The 21,718-nt window shown below is 39.8% G+C and overlaps 1 protein-coding gene and 1 long non-coding RNA gene across 17 annotated transcripts in view; one reads left to right on the top strand and one right to left on the bottom strand.

The window, feature by feature from the left end:
* The window catches only part of LOC101928236 (uncharacterized), a 220,247-nt gene that overhangs the window by 10,015 nt on the left and 188,514 nt on the right, over nucleotides 1–21,718 (bottom strand). Inside the window, exons 8-9 of the long non-coding RNA XR_007096141.1 lie at nucleotides 12,200–12,529; nucleotides 2,583–2,818 (exon numbers count right to left, since the gene is read on the bottom strand). This is a non-coding gene — a long non-coding RNA (uncharacterized LOC101928236). The remainder of the gene's footprint in view (nucleotides 1–2,582; nucleotides 2,819–12,199; nucleotides 12,530–21,718) is intronic.
* The window catches only part of VEPH1 (ventricular zone expressed PH domain containing 1), a 243,864-nt gene that overhangs the window by 119,674 nt on the left and 102,472 nt on the right, over nucleotides 1–21,718 (top strand). For all 16 annotated transcript variants that reach the window (XM_047448927.1, XM_047448922.1, XM_024453748.2 and 13 more), the window contains 3 exons: nucleotides 2,556–2,776; nucleotides 19,420–19,629; nucleotides 20,171–20,568. In XM_047448927.1, the coding sequence (XP_047304883.1) occupies nucleotides 2,556–2,776; nucleotides 19,420–19,629; nucleotides 20,171–20,568 (829 nt within the window). The remainder of the gene's footprint in view (nucleotides 1–2,555; nucleotides 2,777–19,419; nucleotides 19,630–20,170; nucleotides 20,569–21,718) is intronic.

The following is a 21,718-nucleotide window of genomic DNA, read 5'->3' as shown; positions in this document are numbered from 1 at the left end:
AGACTTTGAATTAATAAATGAGTCTATGTTGCAAAAAAAAACAAAAACTGTTGGATCCAAGAGCATTTAAGTATTGTTCTGCAACCTGGCAATTGTATGACCCAAAATATGAAACAGGGTCTCCAGGAACATATTCCAGGGGTCTTTTATTTTCATTCATCTAACATTATTCTTTGATGAATAGATGTCTTTAGCTTCAACTAGCTGTCCAGCTCATGAAAGCACAAGCCTCTGTCTCACATACCCATACAGGACACTGTGCCCTAGTGGGGTTTAAAAAATAAATAAGGGATTGATGGCAGAAGTACCCCATTTACCCCAAGAGATATGTTCCAGTGCAACTGTACATGGAATCTTTGAAAATCAAGTACCAAAAATGAGGGAACTTCACTACTTAAATTTGTTCTGTATTAAATATTTATTGTAAAGCACAGAATTCCTTTGTAACAACATACTTTATTTATAAGGTCATATTTTGATATATAAGGTTTTCTTAAATCAGTAAATTGAGACACACACACTGGGTGTAGAATCCACAGGCTCAATTTAGTGCCAGGTTGATGACTGATGACTGAGAAGTAGCTCCTTTAGAAGACTTGACTGGCACATGTAACCATTAGGAAATTATAAATAAAAGGTGAGGGGGATTGTGTGTTCTTTAAAAGCAAGGGCATCCTTTCATTCACCTTTGTTATCTAGAGTCTAGTAAAAGCATATTATAGGCATGCCATACCTATTTGGTGATTAAATAAAAGCATGAGTAAGCAAATGATCAAATGCAATTAAGTACTAAAAAGATTTTTGGCTGGACACGGTGGCTCACGCCTGTAATCCTAGCATTTTGGGAGGCTGAGGCAGGAGGATTACTTGAGCCCAGGCCAGCCTGGGCAACACGGTGAGACCCTGTCTCTACAAAAAAAAATAAAAATAAAAAATAGCTGAGTGTGGTGGCACACACCTGTGGTGCACCTACATAGGAGACTGAGGCAGCAGGATAGCTTGAGCCCAGGAGGTCAAGGCTGCAGTGAGCCATGATCACACCTCTGCACTCCAGCCTGGTCAACAGAGTAAAACTCTGTCTCAAAAAGATACTGAAATAAAATAAAATTAAGATTTTTAAAGAGTCTATAATGCAGTAAAAATTTACACAGGAGTCACTGGAGACAGCTGCATGGAAGAGTTGCACCTTGAAGGAAATTAAGGCTTCAAATGCTAGCACAAAGGGTAAATAAGAATTCCTAACGAGAAGAGTAATCTAGATCTGTGCACCAGTTAGTCAGAAGGATTGTGAGCAGCAACTTCCAGTATATATTTATTTATATTTATACATATGTTCCACTATACTAACAAGAAAAAATTTTAGACATACACAAAAATAAGATTTTAAAAGAAAAGTTAAAGGTGAAATAAGCCATATTTTAAATTGTTATTTATTAATGGTATATCATTATTTCTATTGGGCACAAATCTACATTTCAAATAACCTTTTCAATAATTTTGAATATTGAATTTTTTGGCTAACTTCCAGTCATGTCAGATTAGATCATGTTGCCTCAAAATATGGCTAATGAGGAGTTTTAATAGGTATAAGAGATGTGTCAGCTAAGCCATTTTCTTATTTGCTCATGCCTACATTATTCATATTGTCCTTAATCTTTCATTCTTTGAAGGAACTTAAATGACTGTGAAAGTTAGCTTGGTTAAACCTAGATAATATAATCTACTCAATCGGCCAAGCATATAAAAACTGTAATACACTGAAAGATGCTTAAAGTTAACAAGTCAGTGAGAAAACCTGCAGCAAGGAAATCAACCTAGCACACTAGTGGAATATGCAACCATCACCCCGACAGACAGATGGTTTAAGTGTGCCAGGGTCAAGGCTCACTTTGAGACCATGGACCGTACCTGCCCCGTGCAGGTGGAGTTAGCAGCTCACATAGTTGTGAGAGGTGCATGTGTGGGGTCTCATCATTTATGATGGTTGAGAGGTTTTGACCTGGAAAGATAGGTTAATGAGTATGTTTGCATATTAGTCTGTCCTGGAAATCAGGAATAAATTAAAAATCTCAAAGAAGCAGACTCAGAGGAACTATGAATGAAACTGATTATTCAACTTGAGCTAGCTCTCTGAGTCAGCTCCCTATAGAATTATCATCTGCTGCTCATGGGACTCTGATTTTTTCTTTTCTATTTATTAATTTTTTTTTTCTGAGACCGAGTCTCCCTCTGTCTCCCAGGCTGGAGTGCAGTGGCACAATCTTGGCTCACTGCACCGTCTGCCTCCTGCGTTCAAGTGATTCTCGTGCCTCAGCCTCTCAAGTAGCTGGGATTACAGGCATGTGCCACTGTGCCCGGCTAGTTTTTGTATTTTTAAGTTGAGATGGGGTGTTACCATGTTGCCCAGGCTGGTTGCAAACTCCTGTTCTCGATCAGGAGTTCCAAGCCATCCACCCACCTCAGCCTCCCAAAGTGCTGGGATTACAGGCATGACCACCATGCCTGGATGATTTTCTTCTAAAAGATAAACCTATTTTCTTCATTGTTTTTGGTAGGAGAGAGCCAGGAGCTGCCTGACATACCTGGTGAGCCAACTGGCCAACATGGAGCATTCGTTTCACCATATTCTCCTGCTGGAGATTAAAAGCATCACCGACACCTTCTCCTCAATCTTGGGCCCTCAGAGCAGAGACATCTTCCGCATGAGCAACAGCTTCACCGCCATTGCTAAACTCCTTACCCGACAACTGGAAAATACCAAGGCTGGAAGTGGCAGGTGAGCAAGAGCTTCTGTGTACCTCAGGGAGCTGCTGTGCACCTGTGGGGGTAGAATGCAGACAGTTAAGCCTCTCTAACTTCCAAAGGAAGCTAAAACCTGTATCTCAACAGAGAATAATATCTGTATAAATTATGGCACTTGCCAGAATCTTTCTTCTAAATGTGTGAAAACCAGAATGTAACAAAACAATAAATTTAAAAGGTTCACAAAATATGGTAAAAGAATTAGAACATAGTGCAAGTAATATTTTATAGCACCCGTTTATTTACTCAACAAGCAGTTAACAATTTAAATTGTCATACTGAATAGTCAAACATAGCTTACTATGTATCAGGAAGCTAGACATATATAGAGAGATAATAGCAGGTTTCTTGTATTCAAGAAGCTCACTGACTAGTATGAGATAAATATTTAAGTGCATAATGGGAGAATAGCAGAATGGCCGAAAGGTTATGCTTATCAAGATGAGTTCAAGGGGCATGGAAAATACAGAGATAGAGTATGTACTTCTGCATCAAAGGGAGAGGGGTGGGAAGTTGTTATCAGAAGAGTTTCCTCTGAAGAGGTGATATTTTGAACCAAGTAGTGAAAGATGACCAGATTTCACCAGGCTGTCTTTTGGGCAGCATTTGAAAAAGCACTTTCTGGAAACAGAAGTCATTTTGTATGACTAGGGTTATGTTACAAGGAAAATAACATTAGGAGATGCTGATGAAGTGGTAGGCAGGGACCAGTGGATGATAGGCTCAACAGAGTGGACTAAGGAGTTCAGTTTTACCCTCTAAGCAGTGAGGAGTGATTGTGGAGCTTTGTACATGGCAGGGTATAATCAGTCCAGATTTTAGGAAGCTCACCCTGGCCCCAGTGCAGAGGATGTCTCAGGAAGAGGCAGATGAGCCAGATCAAGTGAGGGAAGAGCAGAAAAGTGTGCATAGGTGTTGGCCATGAGGAAATTATTGACGATTGAGGTGAGGAAGCTGCCATTGGTGTGGCTAGCAGAAAACAGGGTGATGGGGCTTGCAGAGAGAGTGGACACAATGCACAAACTGGCCTTTTCAAGAAGCTTGTCTTTGGAAAAAATATACAAGGCCATGCAAGGTTGAGGGAGGGGTTTTATTTGTTTTTGCTCTGGTTTGAATAGAGAGAAACTTAAAAAGCTTTATGACCTTTAGAAGTTACAAAAGCCCTTTATGTATGTAATCTCATTTGATCCTCATGACCATTCTACAAGGCAAGAAGGGCAGATGTCACTTACTCCTACTTTATAGAAGAAGAAACAGAGGCTCAGATACTGGTTAAATATCTTCCCAATGTTACACAATGACTAAATGACAGAGGATGGACTCGACCCCATCTCCATAATTCAGATCACAGGCAATGGAAGGTGCTCAGTTATGGAGGAGGGTGGGGCCCATTTGAGACTAGTGTCAAATTCTGTGGGTTTTTTGGAATAACAAATGATGCATGCCATTTCCAGTGTGAAACAAGAATTCCATGAGAAGCCATCTTGATAGAGTAGTGAGCATTTAGTCATTTGGGTCTACTTTATGTTCAGCATGGTGTAGAGCCTGGAGGTCCTAAGAGATATAAGGTACTATCCTTACCATCAAGAGTCACAGTCAGAGGATGTGATGTGCTAAAAGTGCATACAATGGGCTATGGTGAAAAAGGGATGTACTGACCAGCAGCCAGAAAGTCGAATATTTCACAGAGAAGGTAAAATTTAAGTTCATTTCCTATTTATTATCTTCCATGTGCCAAGCATTTCTCTAGACACTAGGTCAAGTTGCACAGAATGAACGAAAATTCCCCAGATAAGGGTAAAAAGGATACCACAAATTAAAAAAAATAGCACATACAAAGATACAAGGGCTTAATAATATGTGCTCAGACTGAGGAAAGATAATTTGTTCAGTAGGGCAGGAAAGTAAGTTGAAAAGTTAGGTCAGAGGCAGATTATCAGAGGCCTTTCATGCTGTGTTAGAAGCAAGGGTTTGTTCTGTAAGCAACATGGAGGCTTGGAAAGATTTTAATCCAGAGAATGATCACAGCTCTTAGCACAGGAATTAACAGATAGTAAGCACTCAAATATTTTCACCAAATGAATAAGTAAATCACGAGTAACTAACATCATGAAGCATTGAATTAATTTGGTTGGAGCAGCCAGTTGGCAAGAGACAAAGTGAGAGGTCTAGACAAAATGATGAGAGCCTAAGAAGTCAGGGCAGATCATTATATTAGAGGACACAAAATTATGAGGAAGTGATCACCTATTGGAGGTGGAGTAAGAAGAAGAGGGGGGTGGATGAACACCCAGAGATATGTAGCTTGAATGACCGCATAGAAATGGAGATGATGCTGATAACCAAGAAAGGAGTTCGCAGGAGGGAAGCCAACCTGGGACGATCTCTTAACCCCTACACACAGAGAATGTAATCTGACCAATAGTGTCATCAAAGTCAATAACTATTCACAGAGGTAGAGTCGGTAAATTCCTTTTCTTTCAACACAATGAGTTTGATTGAGCATATAAAAATGTGTTGTCACCTGGTTTGATATACAGATGCCTATTACAAGGGTTTCTTAACCCTGGTATTATTGATATTTGGGCTAGATAACACTCAGTTGTGAGATTGCCATATGCATTATAGAATATTCACCAGCAATGTGCTGGCCTCTACCCACTAGATGATAGAAGAAGCACCCCCTTTCAATTGTGACAACCAAAAATGTCTCCAGGTTTTGCTAAATGTCCCCAAGGAAACAAAAACCTCCCCCACTTGAGAATCACTACTATATATATATATATATATATATATATATATATATATATATATATATATATACCATTCAAAAATAGCATTTTCATAGACCCATAAGTTAACTGGCAATGACCTGAACACATGGCAGCATCCAGGAGAGTCAAGGCCAGCATCATTAAAAAGATTTGCCATTTATATGCACCCACAAAGTCGCTGTTGGCCAATTTTAATGACGTGGTTTCAGAAGTTTGGTTTACAGTCTCTGCAGCTGGTATTTGAGGGAGCCATTCTGTGCTGTATGCACAGCTGAACTGTGTGTCTTCTCCAAGCCATGGCTAACATGTGCCATGAGTGAAAGTTTGGCCCATGTCCTGGCCAGTGCTCACCTATTCTCTATTTTCCCTATGGACACAAGGTTTCAAGAGGCCAGTTGACATTTCTGAGATTATATATGTGAAAAGCTTTATATAAAGAGAAAAAATATTATATAAGTGTGTTACATAGGCATCTTAACAGGAAAATATATTTTTAATAAGTAGGCCTGTATTAGTCCATTTTCATACTGTTGTAAAGAACTGCCTGAGAGTGAGTAATTTATAAAGGATAGAGGTTTAATTAACTCACAGTTCGGCATGGCTGGGAGACGTCAGGAAACTTACAATCATGGAAGACAGCAAAGGGGAAGCAAGACACCATCTTCACAAGGCAGCAAGAAGACGTGCCAAGCAAAGCAGAAACAGCCCCTTATAAAACCATCAGCTCTCATGGGAACTCACTCACTATCACGAAAACAGCATGGGGGAAACTGCCCCTATGATTCAATTACCTCCACCTAGTCTCTCCCTTGACACGTGGAGATTATGGGGATTATAATTCAAGATGAGATTTGGGTGGGGACACAAAGCATAACCATATCAAGGCCCAACCCAATTAGCAATGAACAATTTCCCCATGAAAAGAAGAATTTAGGAGATATGTAGGTAGGAAGAAAAAATAAGGTCCCACTATGAAAATATGAGTCTGCATGTATGAGAATGCATTTTAAATATCTTTTTTTTTTTTTTTAGTATTTTTCTGAGGTGAGAGGGCAGGAGAGTAGGAAACAAAGAAAGGGCAAAATGAAATGTAAAGAGATGAAAAGGTCACCACTCACCTCCTACCACGACTGCCATCATCCCCCACCTCAACCTCTCTCAATTGAAAATACTTCTCTCAGTTCAACCCCTCGCTGTCAATCTTCTTCTAATCGATTGTAATTATTCAGTGGGAATCTCTAAACCCTCGTGTGGACAGCCAGCCTTTTGTCTGAACGGCTCATCCTCTCTGGAATGGTTGCTAAGGCTTCTCTCCCAACATCTTTTCCTTGAATACCCTTCATTGTGACCATTTAACTTCAGTCATTTTAACCTGCCCCCAAAGCAGAAAGGTCTGCACTTTTGTCTAAAGCATGCAGCAAAATCTGATCCTTACAATTAAAGGGGAAATGAATAAGTGAAGGGAGCTTGAAAGAAAATTAAAGATGATAAAATTCAAAACAGATGTCATCTAATTTACAAATCTGACATGTAGCCCAGCAGGCCAGATTTTAGACTTCAGGCCAAAACTACAAGATTATCAAAAGAAAAACAATTAGCATCCTAGAAAGAATGGAAAACTGAAGCAGACAGGAGGCTTTCTTGTGCCAAATGACTGAATAAATTAAGTGAGTTTTGTTAGAAGCACCAGGTGAGCCCACTTGCACTTTTCCTGCTCCTGTTTTAGAAAGAATGTTTATATGTAAATAATAAACCAACAGAGGCTAAATAACAGGACAGCCAAGCAAAGCATTTATATTTTTTAAATTAATTCTGAAGAAGCAAAAGGGTACAAGGGCTATTATGCATTGCAAAGGAGAAGGTGTCAGGTTGGAGAAGAGATCTATACCTTTCAATACCGTGCAAGTCCTATCTACCCTTCAACATCAAGTTATTTGTCTGCCAGGGCCCAGTTGAAGCTGGGGAGGGAGAGGGTGAGCTCTGGGCACCTCTGTAACTGGCTGAGCTGAGCAGTGGAGTGATCATTGCCTAGAAGATGCCTTTGCCAAATGAATGTGGCGCCAGGGAGGCTGCTATAATCAGGCACCATCAGAATGGGGGCAATTTGTCACAGGTGGTCTTAGTAGGAGGTTAGGCACAGGCCCCAGTTGGGGATGGAAACTTTGAGGGATGGAAATTGTGGAGAGAAAGCAGCAGTGGGAGATAAATATGACAAATGAGAAAAGATAGGGAGAGAGGATGATGATGGCAAAAAGCAGAAGGGGAGACCCAAGGAAAAAAGGAGAAAGGGTCCTGACACAGGCCTGGGGCAGAGGAGGGTAGAGGAAGGTTACAGTTCCCTCAGATCCAGCCTGCAAACTTCAGCCAAAGCCGTGAAAGTCATGGGGGAAAAAGAAGTTGTTTGTGTAAGAAAAGTTTAAGACAAAGTGTGTGATTATAGTTTCTCCAATCCTCTGGCTTAGTTACATGAATGTTGCGTTTTTTTTGTTGTTTTGGTAGTGATGGTGGTAGTGATTATGAGATTTTATGCTTGCTCTTCACTTTAAGAATCAGGCCTGAAAACAGAAAGGGATAATGAAAGCGAAATTATAGTCAAAACTGACTGAATAGGTGTAAATCTGACTTTGGTATAAGTGAAAAGAGATGATACAAAGGAGGGAAGGAAATAAAACAATAGCACATGCAGGAGAATGAAGGGAAAATAGGGTAACTCAACTATATTCAAAGAAAAATGACTCCAGGAAATCTGTCTTCCTTGGAGTGGCTCCAGAATTCCATTTATCCTACATTCCATGCAATGAACATCAAAGAAATGGAGTACAGCAAAGAGACATATTTGATGTATTGTGTGGCCCTAATGTATACTCAAGCAACACAGCCTGTAAAGAACCTTTTCAACTACGAGGCCCTTTGCAACCTGTCATTCCAGAGTTCCCATCTTGACATCCTGGGAGTCACATCAGAACCTAACTCTACTGAAATAACAGTAATGCACATGCTTAGACATCATGTCCCCAAGACATTGTCCAAGACCTTGAAAGTAATCGCTCTTCACTGAGTCCACAACACAAACTGCAGAGAACAGGGGGCCAAGTTCTTCTCTGCAACTCTGCAAAAAATTCTGCATATGTAGGCCTGATCAAGCTTTAAACCAGCTCTTACCACATGGTAGCTCCTGTGCTAGGAGCTTTCCCCTCTGATTTGTTTAATCCTCACAACAAAAAGTCTTTTCATATGCATCGGGATAATAGAAACTTCATAGTAGAGCGTAATAGAGTAAACCTTGCAGACAGGCAAGAACAAAGTAAAATTCTTGCTGTGAGTCCATGGTAATTCCTGGAGGGCCAGTAATACAAATGCCCAGACATCAGTTCATTAAGTTTCTCTTAATTTCTTCTTTTAATCTAGTCCAGTGAATCTCAAATTTCAATGTGGATAAGAGTTACAGTTTTCACAGTATTTCATGGATAATTCAAAAGAATATTAAAGGAATGTCAAGGGTAACTTTTGCCTATTCCTCCCCAAAGAGGTACCCCACTAACCTTTACCATCACCTTCTAGAATGCCCTCTTTGTGCCTCTCTTCCCATTGAAAGCTGGCATTCAGAACCAAGACTCCAGTTTGGTACTACTTCTCCATGAGGCCTTTTCCACCCACCATCACACATAGTGATCTGTGCTTTCCTCTGAGCTCCCACAGTTCATACAACCTTTCCACCTCCCAGCACATGCCATCCTGGCCTGGAGTATTAGGTGTCCTTCTGTGTCCCTCTACTCTTCCACAGACTTGAAGAGCTAGTATTCACAGCCCATGCTCTATGGAAGGAAAAATAAGGTCTTAAAGTGTTCACAAGAACTTCCACATTTTTAGGTAAGACATGTTCGTACAAAGAGAAATTAATTCTTTGAAAGCAGCTGTTGGTTCAGGGAAGGTACACGAGTCAGTTCAGAACCATAATTAAAAACATGGGACATTCTGGTCAGCATTGCCCCCTGCTTAGGAAAAGCTGACTATAATTTTGCCCCACCAAGGTAAATTTTAAGAATGAAACAAGAGTTTTGATAGGAAACGAGTATCTCTTTTCAATCTAGAGAGGTCTATGGTGATCACTTGTGTAAAAAGAAAATCATAACAGCCATTTGTGGCAGTAGCTGTGGCTGTTGTTACTCCTCTGTGCATGGAAAAGGAAGGAAAGGCTTCGGTTTTGGGCCCGTCTTCTTACTGAAGAGGTTAAGTCTGACATGTGGTACCATTTATGTTCCAGCTGTTATTCATTTACTCCACCAGTTGTCCTCCCTTAACGCAGCATTTAGGGTGATGTGAAGGTCTTTAAAGGCATTTCAGGAATTCATCTATCAGCACGAGATGTAGGTAGGAGACATTGTTATCAGCTTTGGAGACAATGAAGCAGGCCCAGGGAGTGTGAGACCTCAGACAGGCTGGCTCTGCCATGTAAGGACACAGTAGGGTAGAGACTCGGGCAGCCCCAGTATGGAGTGCGGGCAATGTAATATCAGCTTCATGGGGAACCAGGTCCATTTTCTGTAACATAGCAATGTTCAAAACACAGGGCACACAAAAAAAGAAAGCTTTTCATGAGGCACCCATGCGCTGGCTTCCCATTTCAAGCAAGACAGAGAACACCAAAGTTCTAGCCTAGGGAATGAGGAAAAAGGGTGTTTGTGGGAGAAGAGGTAAGAGGACCTTGACCCTCTACAACCCACGTGAGAGGAGGGCCAGGGTGCCAGCTGGTGCTCAGACACTTCTTCCTGGACCCTGATGACCTAGCTATTCACTATTTTGGTTCCCCAAATGCTCCCTATTCCTTTTTAGTATCTGTCATAATTGAACTTTAAAGTTGCCATTTGCATGACATTTTCTGAGTTTTGAACACCTTTTTAGTTTGTGTTAAAAGAGGGTGCCAAAATTCATTTTTCCAATTAATACAAAGGGTTGCTCCCGTGACTATATATCAACTCTATTCTGGTGTCTGATTCCCACAGGATGTTATTCAGAGATATCAGATTGTAATAACTCTTCTTGGTTACCGTGCTATATCACCAGTGCCCTAATATGTATTACTTATTCCTGGGGTAGATTCAGATGTAACCTGAATCACACCTACTTAGAGGAAGTGTGCAGAGTGGAGTGTTAAGTGAGAGCTCTGGAGGCAAACAGTTGGATTTAATGTTGGTTTAGCTAAGTGACCTTAAGTGTGCCTCAGTTTCCTCATCTGTAAATGGAGTTACTAATAGGGTCAGCCTCCCTTGATTGTGTGAGAAGCAATTCATGTACCAGATTTAGAACAGTGAAGACTATACATAGAAAGCCCTCTGTAAATGTTAATGAGTAGCATTAGCACTTTGTTACAGGTGTGCATTATAATAGGTGTTGGCATATCCACTAGACCAGTGCCCATCTGCAAACTGTTTCTTATCAGACTGTGATGAAGCGATTGCAGATATTAAAAATAAGAAAATAAGAAGTTAGAACTTTTATAGCAATTTAACATTGCTGTAATATCCAAGTACCTGATCAGTGGACGTTGTATGTCTTGTTTTATTCATTGCGTTTCTCTAGTAGTTTATTTTTGCTATTTTTACAAAAATATTGGTCTGTGACATGAAAATTTAAAAAAAAAATAGTTCTTTACTACAGTGAGTTTAAAAGCTACCGTATTAAATGTTGGATACAGCTGGACCCAGACTAAGTCTGAGAGCTCTCTTTAATACCTAATATTTTATTCCCTAAACTTTCTTCTGGGACCTAAAGGAAAGAGATTTAATAAATGAAAGGTGATGAACACACACCAGTGTGGCCATGGTTGAGATACAGCTACTCTAAGATGGGTTACAGTTGAGGAAAAATGGTTCTTAATATTATTCATATTCATCATAAAGCAAAAGATAGGCTTTTCATTAGTTGGCAGCCTGAAGGCTGTTAGATAAACTTTGCTATAGGTAAGGGCTGAATTCTAGGTAGACTAGGAATTGAATCACAGAATTTTATGTAGGAGTTCTATCCCCAGGTCAGTTATTGATGTGTTTTTGATTAAGTATATCCTCCATTTCTGGGTAACTATGTTTCTATCAATTAAAATTGGGTTACAGTATCATATTTGAGATGAAGACTATGAGAAGATGTATCAAATAGGAAAATTTTAACCATTTTTCCTGCTCTTCCAGTGTCAAATGCCAAGAGTGACAATGTCTTAGCTCTTTAATCCTCATGGCCAGACCCTATTGCTTGCTCCTGTGCCCAGACGATAAAGTCAGCCTAGACAAAGAAGAGCACATTGCCTTACAGGTCTCCCTCTTGATTGACAGTGCTTTGATGATATTCCTACTCTACGTTTTTTACAGTCCTTTATAATTTACAGAGTGATTTTGTAACTTGTGTTATATCTGGGTGGCAGTTCATTAGGATGGGGCGGCCGTCTTCTGTTAAGGCTACTGCTCACCTGATATGCCCAGTCGTCTCAGGAATCTAAAGATTCGGGGTCCATCTGAACCAGTATCTGCCAGCAGCAAAACCCGAAAATGTACCTTTACCTCGGAATGTATCCCCAAAAGGATAAAAGGCAAAGCCTACCAACTCCAAATAATCCACAGATTAAGTCTTACCTTACTACAGAATTAGTGAAACCCTCAGCAGCCTTGCTTGAGGAAAAAGGCCTCTGCCCTGGTCCACTTCAGATTCTCTTATTTCATTGTCTGGGCCATCGCTTCTCAAAATTTGAACGTGTCACTGGACACCTGGGGACCGTATTAAAGTGCACATTCTGATTCAGTAGATCTGGGATCAGAACCTGAGATTCTGCACTTCTGACAAGCTCCAAGGTGATGCTGATGCCGCTGGTCCAGGGATCTCACTTTGAGTAGGAAAAGCAGGGGCTTTGCACTTTTTGCTGATCCCTTTTCCGTGTCTTATTCTCTCCCATGTTGGTTAAATAACTGAAAAGTGAGCAAATGATTGGGCATCTGAATTAGAAGTGTCCCTTCCTTGTATCATGGCTTTTATATTTTCATTCTAATTTCAGGAAATTCTGTCTGCAGTTGCTCAGAATTCATATTTCAAGTACAGGGATTTATTTTTAATTGGCCATTTCTATATCCCAGTTCTTGTATGCTCATGGAGTAGGAGAGTCCCTCTCTTTTAGTACGCACTGTTTAAGATACTGCAGTAAGAGGAGGGATTTTATAGTCCTCCCTGGCTTTGAGCAGGAAAAGCATATCTTCTAGGATTGGTAACACTTGCGCAAACCTCCTTCTTTCAGTGTCAAATGTCCACATTAAGCAGCAGCCACTCAGGGTTTTACCATGCCTTGAATTTTTCATGCCCATTCTATGTGAGCAACACTGTCAAATCCAGTATCTTATACAATGCTTTCAGCAATCTGATGATGTAATATCAATCCCATTTTTATATAACAAAAATAAAACTTAGAGTCCTTAAGAGTTTTATAGCATCACTAATAAACATGAAATTGGAGTTATGAACCTAAGCTTTTCCCCATAAGATTCTGTTCAGTCAGTTTCCCCCACAACTGTCTCCTTTTGAAAACTCTTTTAAAATTTTGTGTAAATGAAGTAAACCATGGAGTTATTTCATTTTAGCAGAGTTCTACCATTGGCATGATCACATTCTGATCCCCACATAACTAGGTACCTGCCCATCTCTGCTTTTGCCCACTGAGCAGGTCAGAGGCAGAATAGATACCAAGAACTGAGTCTTATTGTTGTCCTTTCCCTTAACATTCCAGCTTAGGTGTTCCAGCAGCATTATTTATTGCAGTCCCAAAACAGATGCTAGCACTGTGAAGTTGGGGGATCTTCTCTATGATGACTGATGACCCAAGAGATTACTGAAGAGTAAGGAACGTAGCATTCTAAGAATTCAGGACTCCAATGTGGATTTAGTCCATTGCATTCTCCTACTTCTCCTTTAACAAGCTTAACTCTGCAGGAGTACATATCCTGGACATGGAATTGTAGGCCAAGATCATCAAACATTAACTAATATTATTTTTCTTTGATTTAAGGAGCCAGGAAGAGAGGCTGCCAATCTTTCCACCCCCTGCCAGCTTTATAGTCTCATCTCCCCGCTTAGTGAGAGCAGCGAGCAGCCCAAGGGCCAATTTGTTTCTAAGGGAAGTCCCCGTTCACACAAGAGGGAGGTAATTAGGCCTCCCCCTGGGAATCCCTAGATGTACTTTTAAAAACTTTGCTTTGGCAACAGAGACCAGAAACTGTTCAGACTAGAAATTATCTGAACCTCTTGTAATGTGGTGTGTTGAGTTAAGGCCAAGTTAATATTTAGGGGATTATAGAACTCTGGCAAAGATTTCTGTAAAATTACCTCTGGGGTCAAAAGTGACAAATGGAAAAGAAATAACAACCCCCTAAGTGAGCCCAATCCACTGGCCCCTGCCCCCACCACTCTATGAGTAAACACATACAGGACCCATGGATCTGCCAGCACTTTCACATTTGTGATGTGTTTCCTTGCTCTAGGAGGGAAGCAGAAGTTTATCTCAGGAAAAGATCTTGGTTTTTGAACTTTTTGTTCAAAAACTTTGTTTCGAACAAAATACTTCTATCTTTTTATATTAAATTTTAAAAGCAAGAGGAAAAGAAGTAAAGGAAAGGGAATGTTTATGATAAACCCAAACCCTCTATCTACCATTTCCTGACCTTCCAATTTATTGGAATTGAAATTTGTCCTACCTCCCTGCCAGCAAAGTTCTGTGGCATGCCCAGGTGGATTGATGGCCAGAAACAGAAAGTTCCCTTTGACCCATCTGGAGACCTTGGCTGCCTCAATGACTTCATTACCACCCCAGTCCACTGACTTCTGTGCTCTACAAATCTAAATCATAAAACCAAGGGAGATTGTGCAGAAGAGAAAGTCTTTGCGGTGAGAATTCTCATCAGCCTTAGATCTAGAGAGCATTTCTTTATCCCAGACATTTTATTGTTGCTTCTTCATTCTTCATATTTGTTCCCTTGCAAATTACTCTTTTTGCCTCTACTCTTGCTCCCTGCTTCTCTCCACATTTCATGTTTACCAAATAGCACTGTGCCATCCCCAAACCCTGAAGGGCCAGGAGAAGTGGCCAGTCTCTCATGGGCATCTGGTAGACCTCAGGAGGTTTTTTTTTTTTTTTTTTTTTTTTCATTTGGTTTTTGTTGTTGTTGTTGTTATTTGTTTGTTTTGTTTTTTGTGTTTTGTGGTGGTTGTTGTTGTTTAGAGGTGGGTGGCAGGCTGACTTCAGACAACAATGTGGTCTCAGTTCACTTATTCTACAAAAATTCCAGGTCCTGTGTGTGCCAAGCACTGTGCCAGACCAGATGGGTTGTACAGGTCCCTGCCCACAGTGCAGCAGGGATTTATCCCAGAGTTGCTTTGCCAAGTCTAACAAATAAAAATACAGGACACCCAGTTGAATTTCAGTTAAATAACAAATAATTTCTTAGTATTTTTAGTATAATAATTGTAGTCAAGTATAATATATATTTAGTATATTTCACTAGGGATATACCTACACTTAAAAATACTTACTGTTAGCCAGGCTCGGTGGCTCACGCCTGTAATCCCAGCACTTTGGGTGGCCGAGGCGGGAGGATCACGAGGTCAGGAGATTGAGACCATCCTGGCTAACACGGTGAAACCCCATCTCTACGAAAAATACAAAAAATTAGCCGGGCATGGTGGCGGGCACCTGTAGTCCCAGCTACTCGGGGGGCTGAGGTGGGAGAATGGCATGAACCCGCGAAGCAGAGCTTGCAGTGAGCCAAGATCACTCCACTGCACTCCAGCCTGGGCGACAGAGCGTGACTCAGTTTCAAAAAACAAACAAACAAACAAACAAACAAAAAACTTATTGTTTATCTGAAATTCAGATTTGGCTGAGTGTCCTGTTTTTCACTGAGAATCCTTACCCTTGAGGCACCCAACCTGCCCTCTTGGGGTCAGTGAGTGTCATGCCCAGCATCTCATCAGAGTAATGCTATAAAGCAACTTGAACATGAAGGAAGGCTGCTTCCAGCTACTAAAGCTCTGATGCATCCAGGCTGCAGGGCTTGCTAACCAATATCTGGTCACTGGAGACACAGGCACGGAAAGGGGCTTAAGTGGCCATCCCCTCCTACAGCCTGACAGTAATAAAATCTAACATGTGATGACTGCTTGTTATGTGTTAGGAACACTGCTTCATGTTGGTTCTGTCATTTAATCATTCTACCAACCCCGTGAGTTAAGTACAGTTATTATCTGCATTTTATAGATGGTGAAACTGATATAAAGAGTACAACAAACAAAAGAAGGATTTCCATAAATATGAAACTTTTTTAAGAATAAAAAACTGATCCAATAAAATTATCTTAGGACATTTTCTATAATCTATGAAATTTGAAGTTTTTTTGAAGAAAATGTGATTATTGTAACTGATATAAGCCAGAGCTTTAGACAGAAAGAAAAAAATTATAAATTCATGAGAAATTTTCCTCTAACAATTCATATGTTTTGAAGTTTAAAAATCTGTATAGTCAGGCACAGCGGCACACACCTGTAGTCCCAGCTACTCAGAAGGCTGAGATAGGAGAACTGCTAGGGCCCAGATGTTTGAGGCCAGCCTGGAAAACATGGCAAGACCCCCATCTCTAAAAACTTAAAAATTAAAACATTAAAACATTTATATAATGCTCAATATCTAATACTTACATTTTGGGTTACAAGTTATGCTTTACAAATTTTTAAGTTTTAATGACCCCAGCTATAGAAATATTTGAAATAAAGGCATCTTTTAATTTTGAAGGGTGATTAGGTTCCATGGAACCAGAGAAATATTTTAGTTTCATGACTATACATGAACTAATGTGGATAGAAAATAAATACTCCCCAAAATTTCTTGTGTGGTAAGTCCATTAGATTTTTTAAAATTAACCTTGGCAATCATCATGGTTTGTAAAATAGCATCTAGAGATAGCATTATCTTGGTTTCATTTGTAATGGGAGTAAACATTTAGAATCTTCTGGCTATAAGATGTCAAAGCCTCCCATCTATTTGACTGTAGCCAATATCATATATATGTCAGAAAGAAAAACATTTTCAAGCCTAGCCTCTATTCCCACATACTGATTCTTGCAATCTACCAATGTATATTTTATTTATGCATGGTATGAGTAGATAAAAATTATGTAAAGCCATAGAAAACTTATAAAATTATGTAAGAAAAATGGTTTTAAATTGTATCAGCAACCGCTTATTAAACAATAAACAATTGCCTTGTTACCTAAAAGATGCTGGTTCCCACTTTGAATCATCAGCAGCTGTCCCTGGGCTGGACCTACAGGTGAATTCTGACCACTGAGGGCCCATAATCATGAACCCTCCCTCAACGCCAGGACTGCTGTCCTCTCTGGGCCAGCCAGAAAAACTTCACTATCCAACCCTGCTAACGCAGTGCTTCACCAGTGTCCACCGCAGATATAGGTGCCAGAATGGGTAGATTATAACTGAAAAAATTAGTTACCAGCCCTTCTGCATTGCTTTTTCCTAAAAAGTAGTGTTTTTTGTTGTTGTTGTTGTTTGTTTTTGTTGTTGTTGTTGTTGTTGTTTTTGAGACAGTTTCACTCTTGTCACCCAGGCTGGAGTGCAATGGCGCGATCTCTGCTCACTGCAACCTCTGCCTCCCAGGTTCAATTGATTCTCCCGCCTCAGCCTCCCGAGTAGCTGGGATTACAGGTGCCTGACACCACACCCAGCTAATTTTTGTATTTTTAGTAGAGACAGGGTTTCACCATGTTGAGCAGGCTGGTCTCAAACTCCTGACCTCAAATGATCCACCCACCTCGGCCTCCCAAAGTGTTGGGATTACAAGCATAAGCCACCGTGCCTGGCAGTGCTTTCTTTCTTTCTTTTTCTTTCTTGTTTTTTTAAGGATGTTTTTCCTCTCACTCTCATTCAGGTATTATGCCAGGTTCACTTTGGCCCTTAGGGAAAAATAATGTTTGAAAAAGCCAAGATTTTTCTCTAAGTCTGGGCCCTTTCCTCAATGTCTTGGAAAAATACTAAAGACAGCCAAGTAAATGCACACAGACAAACCAACAAAATCATTAGACCATCTTGGTGAATATATTTCTAGGGATTATTATATACTGTAATAAAAAATAAATACTTTGTCTCTGTCCCGAGTTCATGGCATACAGCTCCTAAACCCTCAGAATCTCAGATTGATGGGTGTCTTTTATATGCTAATGAGATGACTGTTGGCAGGGACCCCTAGATTTCTTGAGGATTGGGTCTGGTCACAGGAAGGACCAAGGCATGATTACACTGTTGGAACTTTCAGCCCCATTCTCTATCTTACCCTATAACTCACCCAACCCCAGTCTCTGGGGAGGGGAGAGGGGCTGAAGATCGAGTTAACCGCCAATGGTAATCATTTAATCAATCATGCCTGAATAATGAAACCGTCATAATAACCCCTAAAATTCCAAGAACTTCCAGATTGGTGAACACATTGAGTTGCTGGGAGTACAGCGTACCCAGAAAGGGCACAGAAGCTCTGTGCCCCTTCTCCCATACCTTGCCCTATGCATCTCTTCTACTGGGGTGTTTCTGAGTTGTATCCTTTATAATAAACCCAATAATAATAAGTTAAAGTGTTTTCCTGAGTCCTATGAGTCATTCCAGTGAATTATTGAACCATGGGGGTGGGGTGGTGCAGGAACCTTTGTAGCCAAGTTGAACAGAAGTGTAAGCTGGGGACCCCATACTTCTCACTGGCATCTGAACTGGGGGCCATCTGTGGAGTCTGGGGCTAATTCCAGGTCGTTAGTGTTAGGATTGAATTGAACTGTAGGACACCCAGTTGGTGTCTAGAGGGTTGGAGAATTAGTTGGTATGAGAAAAAAACCCACATATTGGGTGTCAAAAGTGTGGTAAGTAAAAATAATTCCTTTTATCCTTGTTTTTTAAGAAAAGAATTAATACTAACACCATACGTTATAAAAATGGATAGTGGTTGTTGAATAAAAATTAAAGTAGCTGTAGGCCAGCTCAGTATTAGAAGATAAATAAGGGAAGATAAATGCATGCTACTTTCCTATAATTACTCAGCACCTCAGTGAACATCAGAAAGCTATTTCTGCAGCTTATTTGTAGGTGCTTATTCTAGCTAAGGCACTGTTAGCCCTCAGAGGAAATCCAAAATTATACCACACATGGCCCCTGCTTTAAAGGAAGTAATTTTAATGACCCACAAAGTGGTTTATAAACTCTACTATAAAAGATATTTGGGTCTATATTAATATCGTTCACAGAAAACCTCTTTCTTCCAACATCTTAAAATTCAGAAAGATATTTCTCCTTGGAAGGTATAAGAGTTATACTGATTTTTTAAAAATTAACAAAACCATGAGTTTATACAGTGCATGTGAAATGTTCTTATTCTGTAATTTCAGTACAAACATATCAGCACATGTAAATTTTTTAGAAAATATCTGGCACACATTTCATGTGAAAGACATACATTTGAAGAATTTCTAAAAAAGAATATGGTACATGAGCATAAAAACTGCTTTTTATTCTTTGAACTCTTAAAAAGCATTTTTAATACAAAGTTCACATAAACACCACTGTTTCTAAATTTCTGGCAGAACAAGCTGTAGAAGCAATTTCAAAGACCTATGCCTGCAGTAAATACTTGTTAAATGACCAATGAAAAAAATTATCAGGCAAAGCTTTTGCTTCTGAGTGAGAGGCAGTTAAATAGAGAATAACACTGTTCTGAAGAGTATATATGACCTGCATCTAATGCAATGATTTATATTCCTTTAGGAGAAAAATCAGCACTGAAATTGAATTCCCTGAGAAACTGGAAGAAACCAAGCTCATAGTAACTGAAAATGAAGACCATGAAAAACTCCAAGTTAAAATCCAGGCTTTTGAAGACAAGATAAATGCAGGGAGCAATACCCCTGGCTCTATCAGAAGATATAGTCTGGGCCAAGTTTCTAAAGAAGAAAGAAAAAACATTAGATTTAACAGGTATAACTCGTTTGGTTTGTTTTTTAAATCATACACTTCATGTTCGCTATTAGCTTTGTTATCACTCTGTTATGGGGTGTTTTTTATATATCTTTTACCCATTGCCACCCAAAGTGCCATCCTTACATGAATGAAATATCATCCACAATGCTCTCATTATCCAAAGAAACTCACTATTTTAAATGGGTACTATGAATGGAAAACAAATCTATTGCTTATATGCCATATGGAAAATACTGTCTCTTGATTTCTGATGAAAAATCAAAAGCAAAAGTAGACAAAGATGAAAAATATGTAAGTCTACTATTTTGCAGCCAGTTTTGCCATGAAATTGATTTTTAAACTTTGTTTTTGGAGGTGACTTAGATTTTCAAAGGTTTGGTTTATTACATCATTTATTGGTGGTATACATTTATCAGGCCTGTTAATAGTTTCACACTCCAGAGGAAGTAACTTTTTGTCCCAATATTATTATTATTTCTTTTCCTTGTCAGTGAATGGTAACACAACTTCTTTAACTTTCCCTTTGTTTGAACTCTAGGTCAAAAAGTTTGGCTTTCCACACTATGCTCACAAAGGGTGTGGGTTCAGATGACGGCGAAGATGAAAACAGGGGAGACATACCAGCCAGCATCTCTCTTTCAGAAATAGACCCACTTGGCCAAGGAAATGACAAGCTGCCGTTTAAGACAGACACTGAGAGATCACAGCTGGGGGAGTCTTCAGTTTCATACCCAAATATTATACATATAGACTCAGAGAATTTGTCAGAAACTGTTAAAGAAAACTCCCAGGAAGAAACTCCAGAGACAACTGCAAGTCCTATAGAATACCAAGATAAGCTCTACTTGCACTTAAAAAAAAACCTCAGCAAAGTGAAAGCATATGCCATGGAAATTGGAAAGAAGATTCCAGTCCCTGATCAGTGTACCATTGAAGGTAAGTGTTGTGTACTTCCCAAACCTGAGAAACTTCAGGAGTCACTGCAAATAAACAAAAAGCTCAAATCAGGTAAATTAGCATACTCTTTTCTGGATCTTTTGCAAAATAGATCATTTTTTTTAAATACCTTACATTATGTTAGTTTTTTTTTTTTTTTTCCCAAGAAAAGGTTGATCATCTTGATTCCCATTTGAATCTACTTGGGTGCACATAAGTCCACTGACTCTTTGATTTTTGCAAACCTCAAGATATATTATTTCTGGTTCCCTGTCCCCAGAATTCACAAAAATCCTGGAAAGAGGTCTGTGACCCTGAAGCCGGCTCTGGGGTAGGGGTTCTGCCAGAGACATTTCCCAACCACATAATCATGCAAGAAAGTCATGCATAACATTGAATATCAGCTTCCATTCAGCTACTGTGTTCCAGGCACTGTGTTAAAAGTACTCAAGATTCAGCTATAAACCAAACAGATACAATTCCTGACCTCTTAGAGTTTAGAGTATAGATGATGATGCTCAACTTAGGATGAGACTATGTCCCCAAAAACCCATTATAAGTTGAAAATGCACCTAGTTTACCAAACATTACAGCTTAGCCTAGCTTACGTTAAACATGCCCAGAACACTTAGGACACTAGCCTACATTAGGCAAAATTACCTAACGCAAAGCATATTTTATAATAAACTGTTGAATATCTCATGTAATTTATTGAATGCTGTACTGAAAGTGAAAAATAGAATGGTTGTATAGGAACTCAAAGTATGGTTTCTACTGAATGAGTATCACTTTCACACCATTGTAAAGTCAAAAAATGGTAAATTCAACCATCTTATGTCAGGACCATCCATACACAAAGAAAAGGGCACAACCATAGTCAGGAGGTGGCTTAAAAGAAAGAAGCCAGTGAGAGGTTGAGCTAGTCAGAAAACGAAGGGCAAAGTAAAAAAATAAAAAATTTTAAACAGGATGTCAGGGGCCAGGACCTTCCTCAGGCACACAAATTAGGGTGGCACCAATAAAACTCAGTAAAGGCTGGGCGCAGTGGCTCATGCCTGTAATCCAAGCACTTTGGGAGGCTGAGGCAGGTGGATCGCCTGAGGTCAGGAGTTCAAGAGCAGCCTGGCCAACATGGTGAAACCCCGTCTCT

This window comes from Homo sapiens, chromosome 3, assembly GCF_000001405.40.
Source record: "Homo sapiens chromosome 3, GRCh38.p14 Primary Assembly".
Taxonomy (NCBI): Eukaryota; Metazoa; Chordata; class Mammalia; order Primates; family Hominidae; genus Homo; species Homo sapiens.
This window is presented reverse-complemented; position numbering and strand designations above follow the sequence as displayed.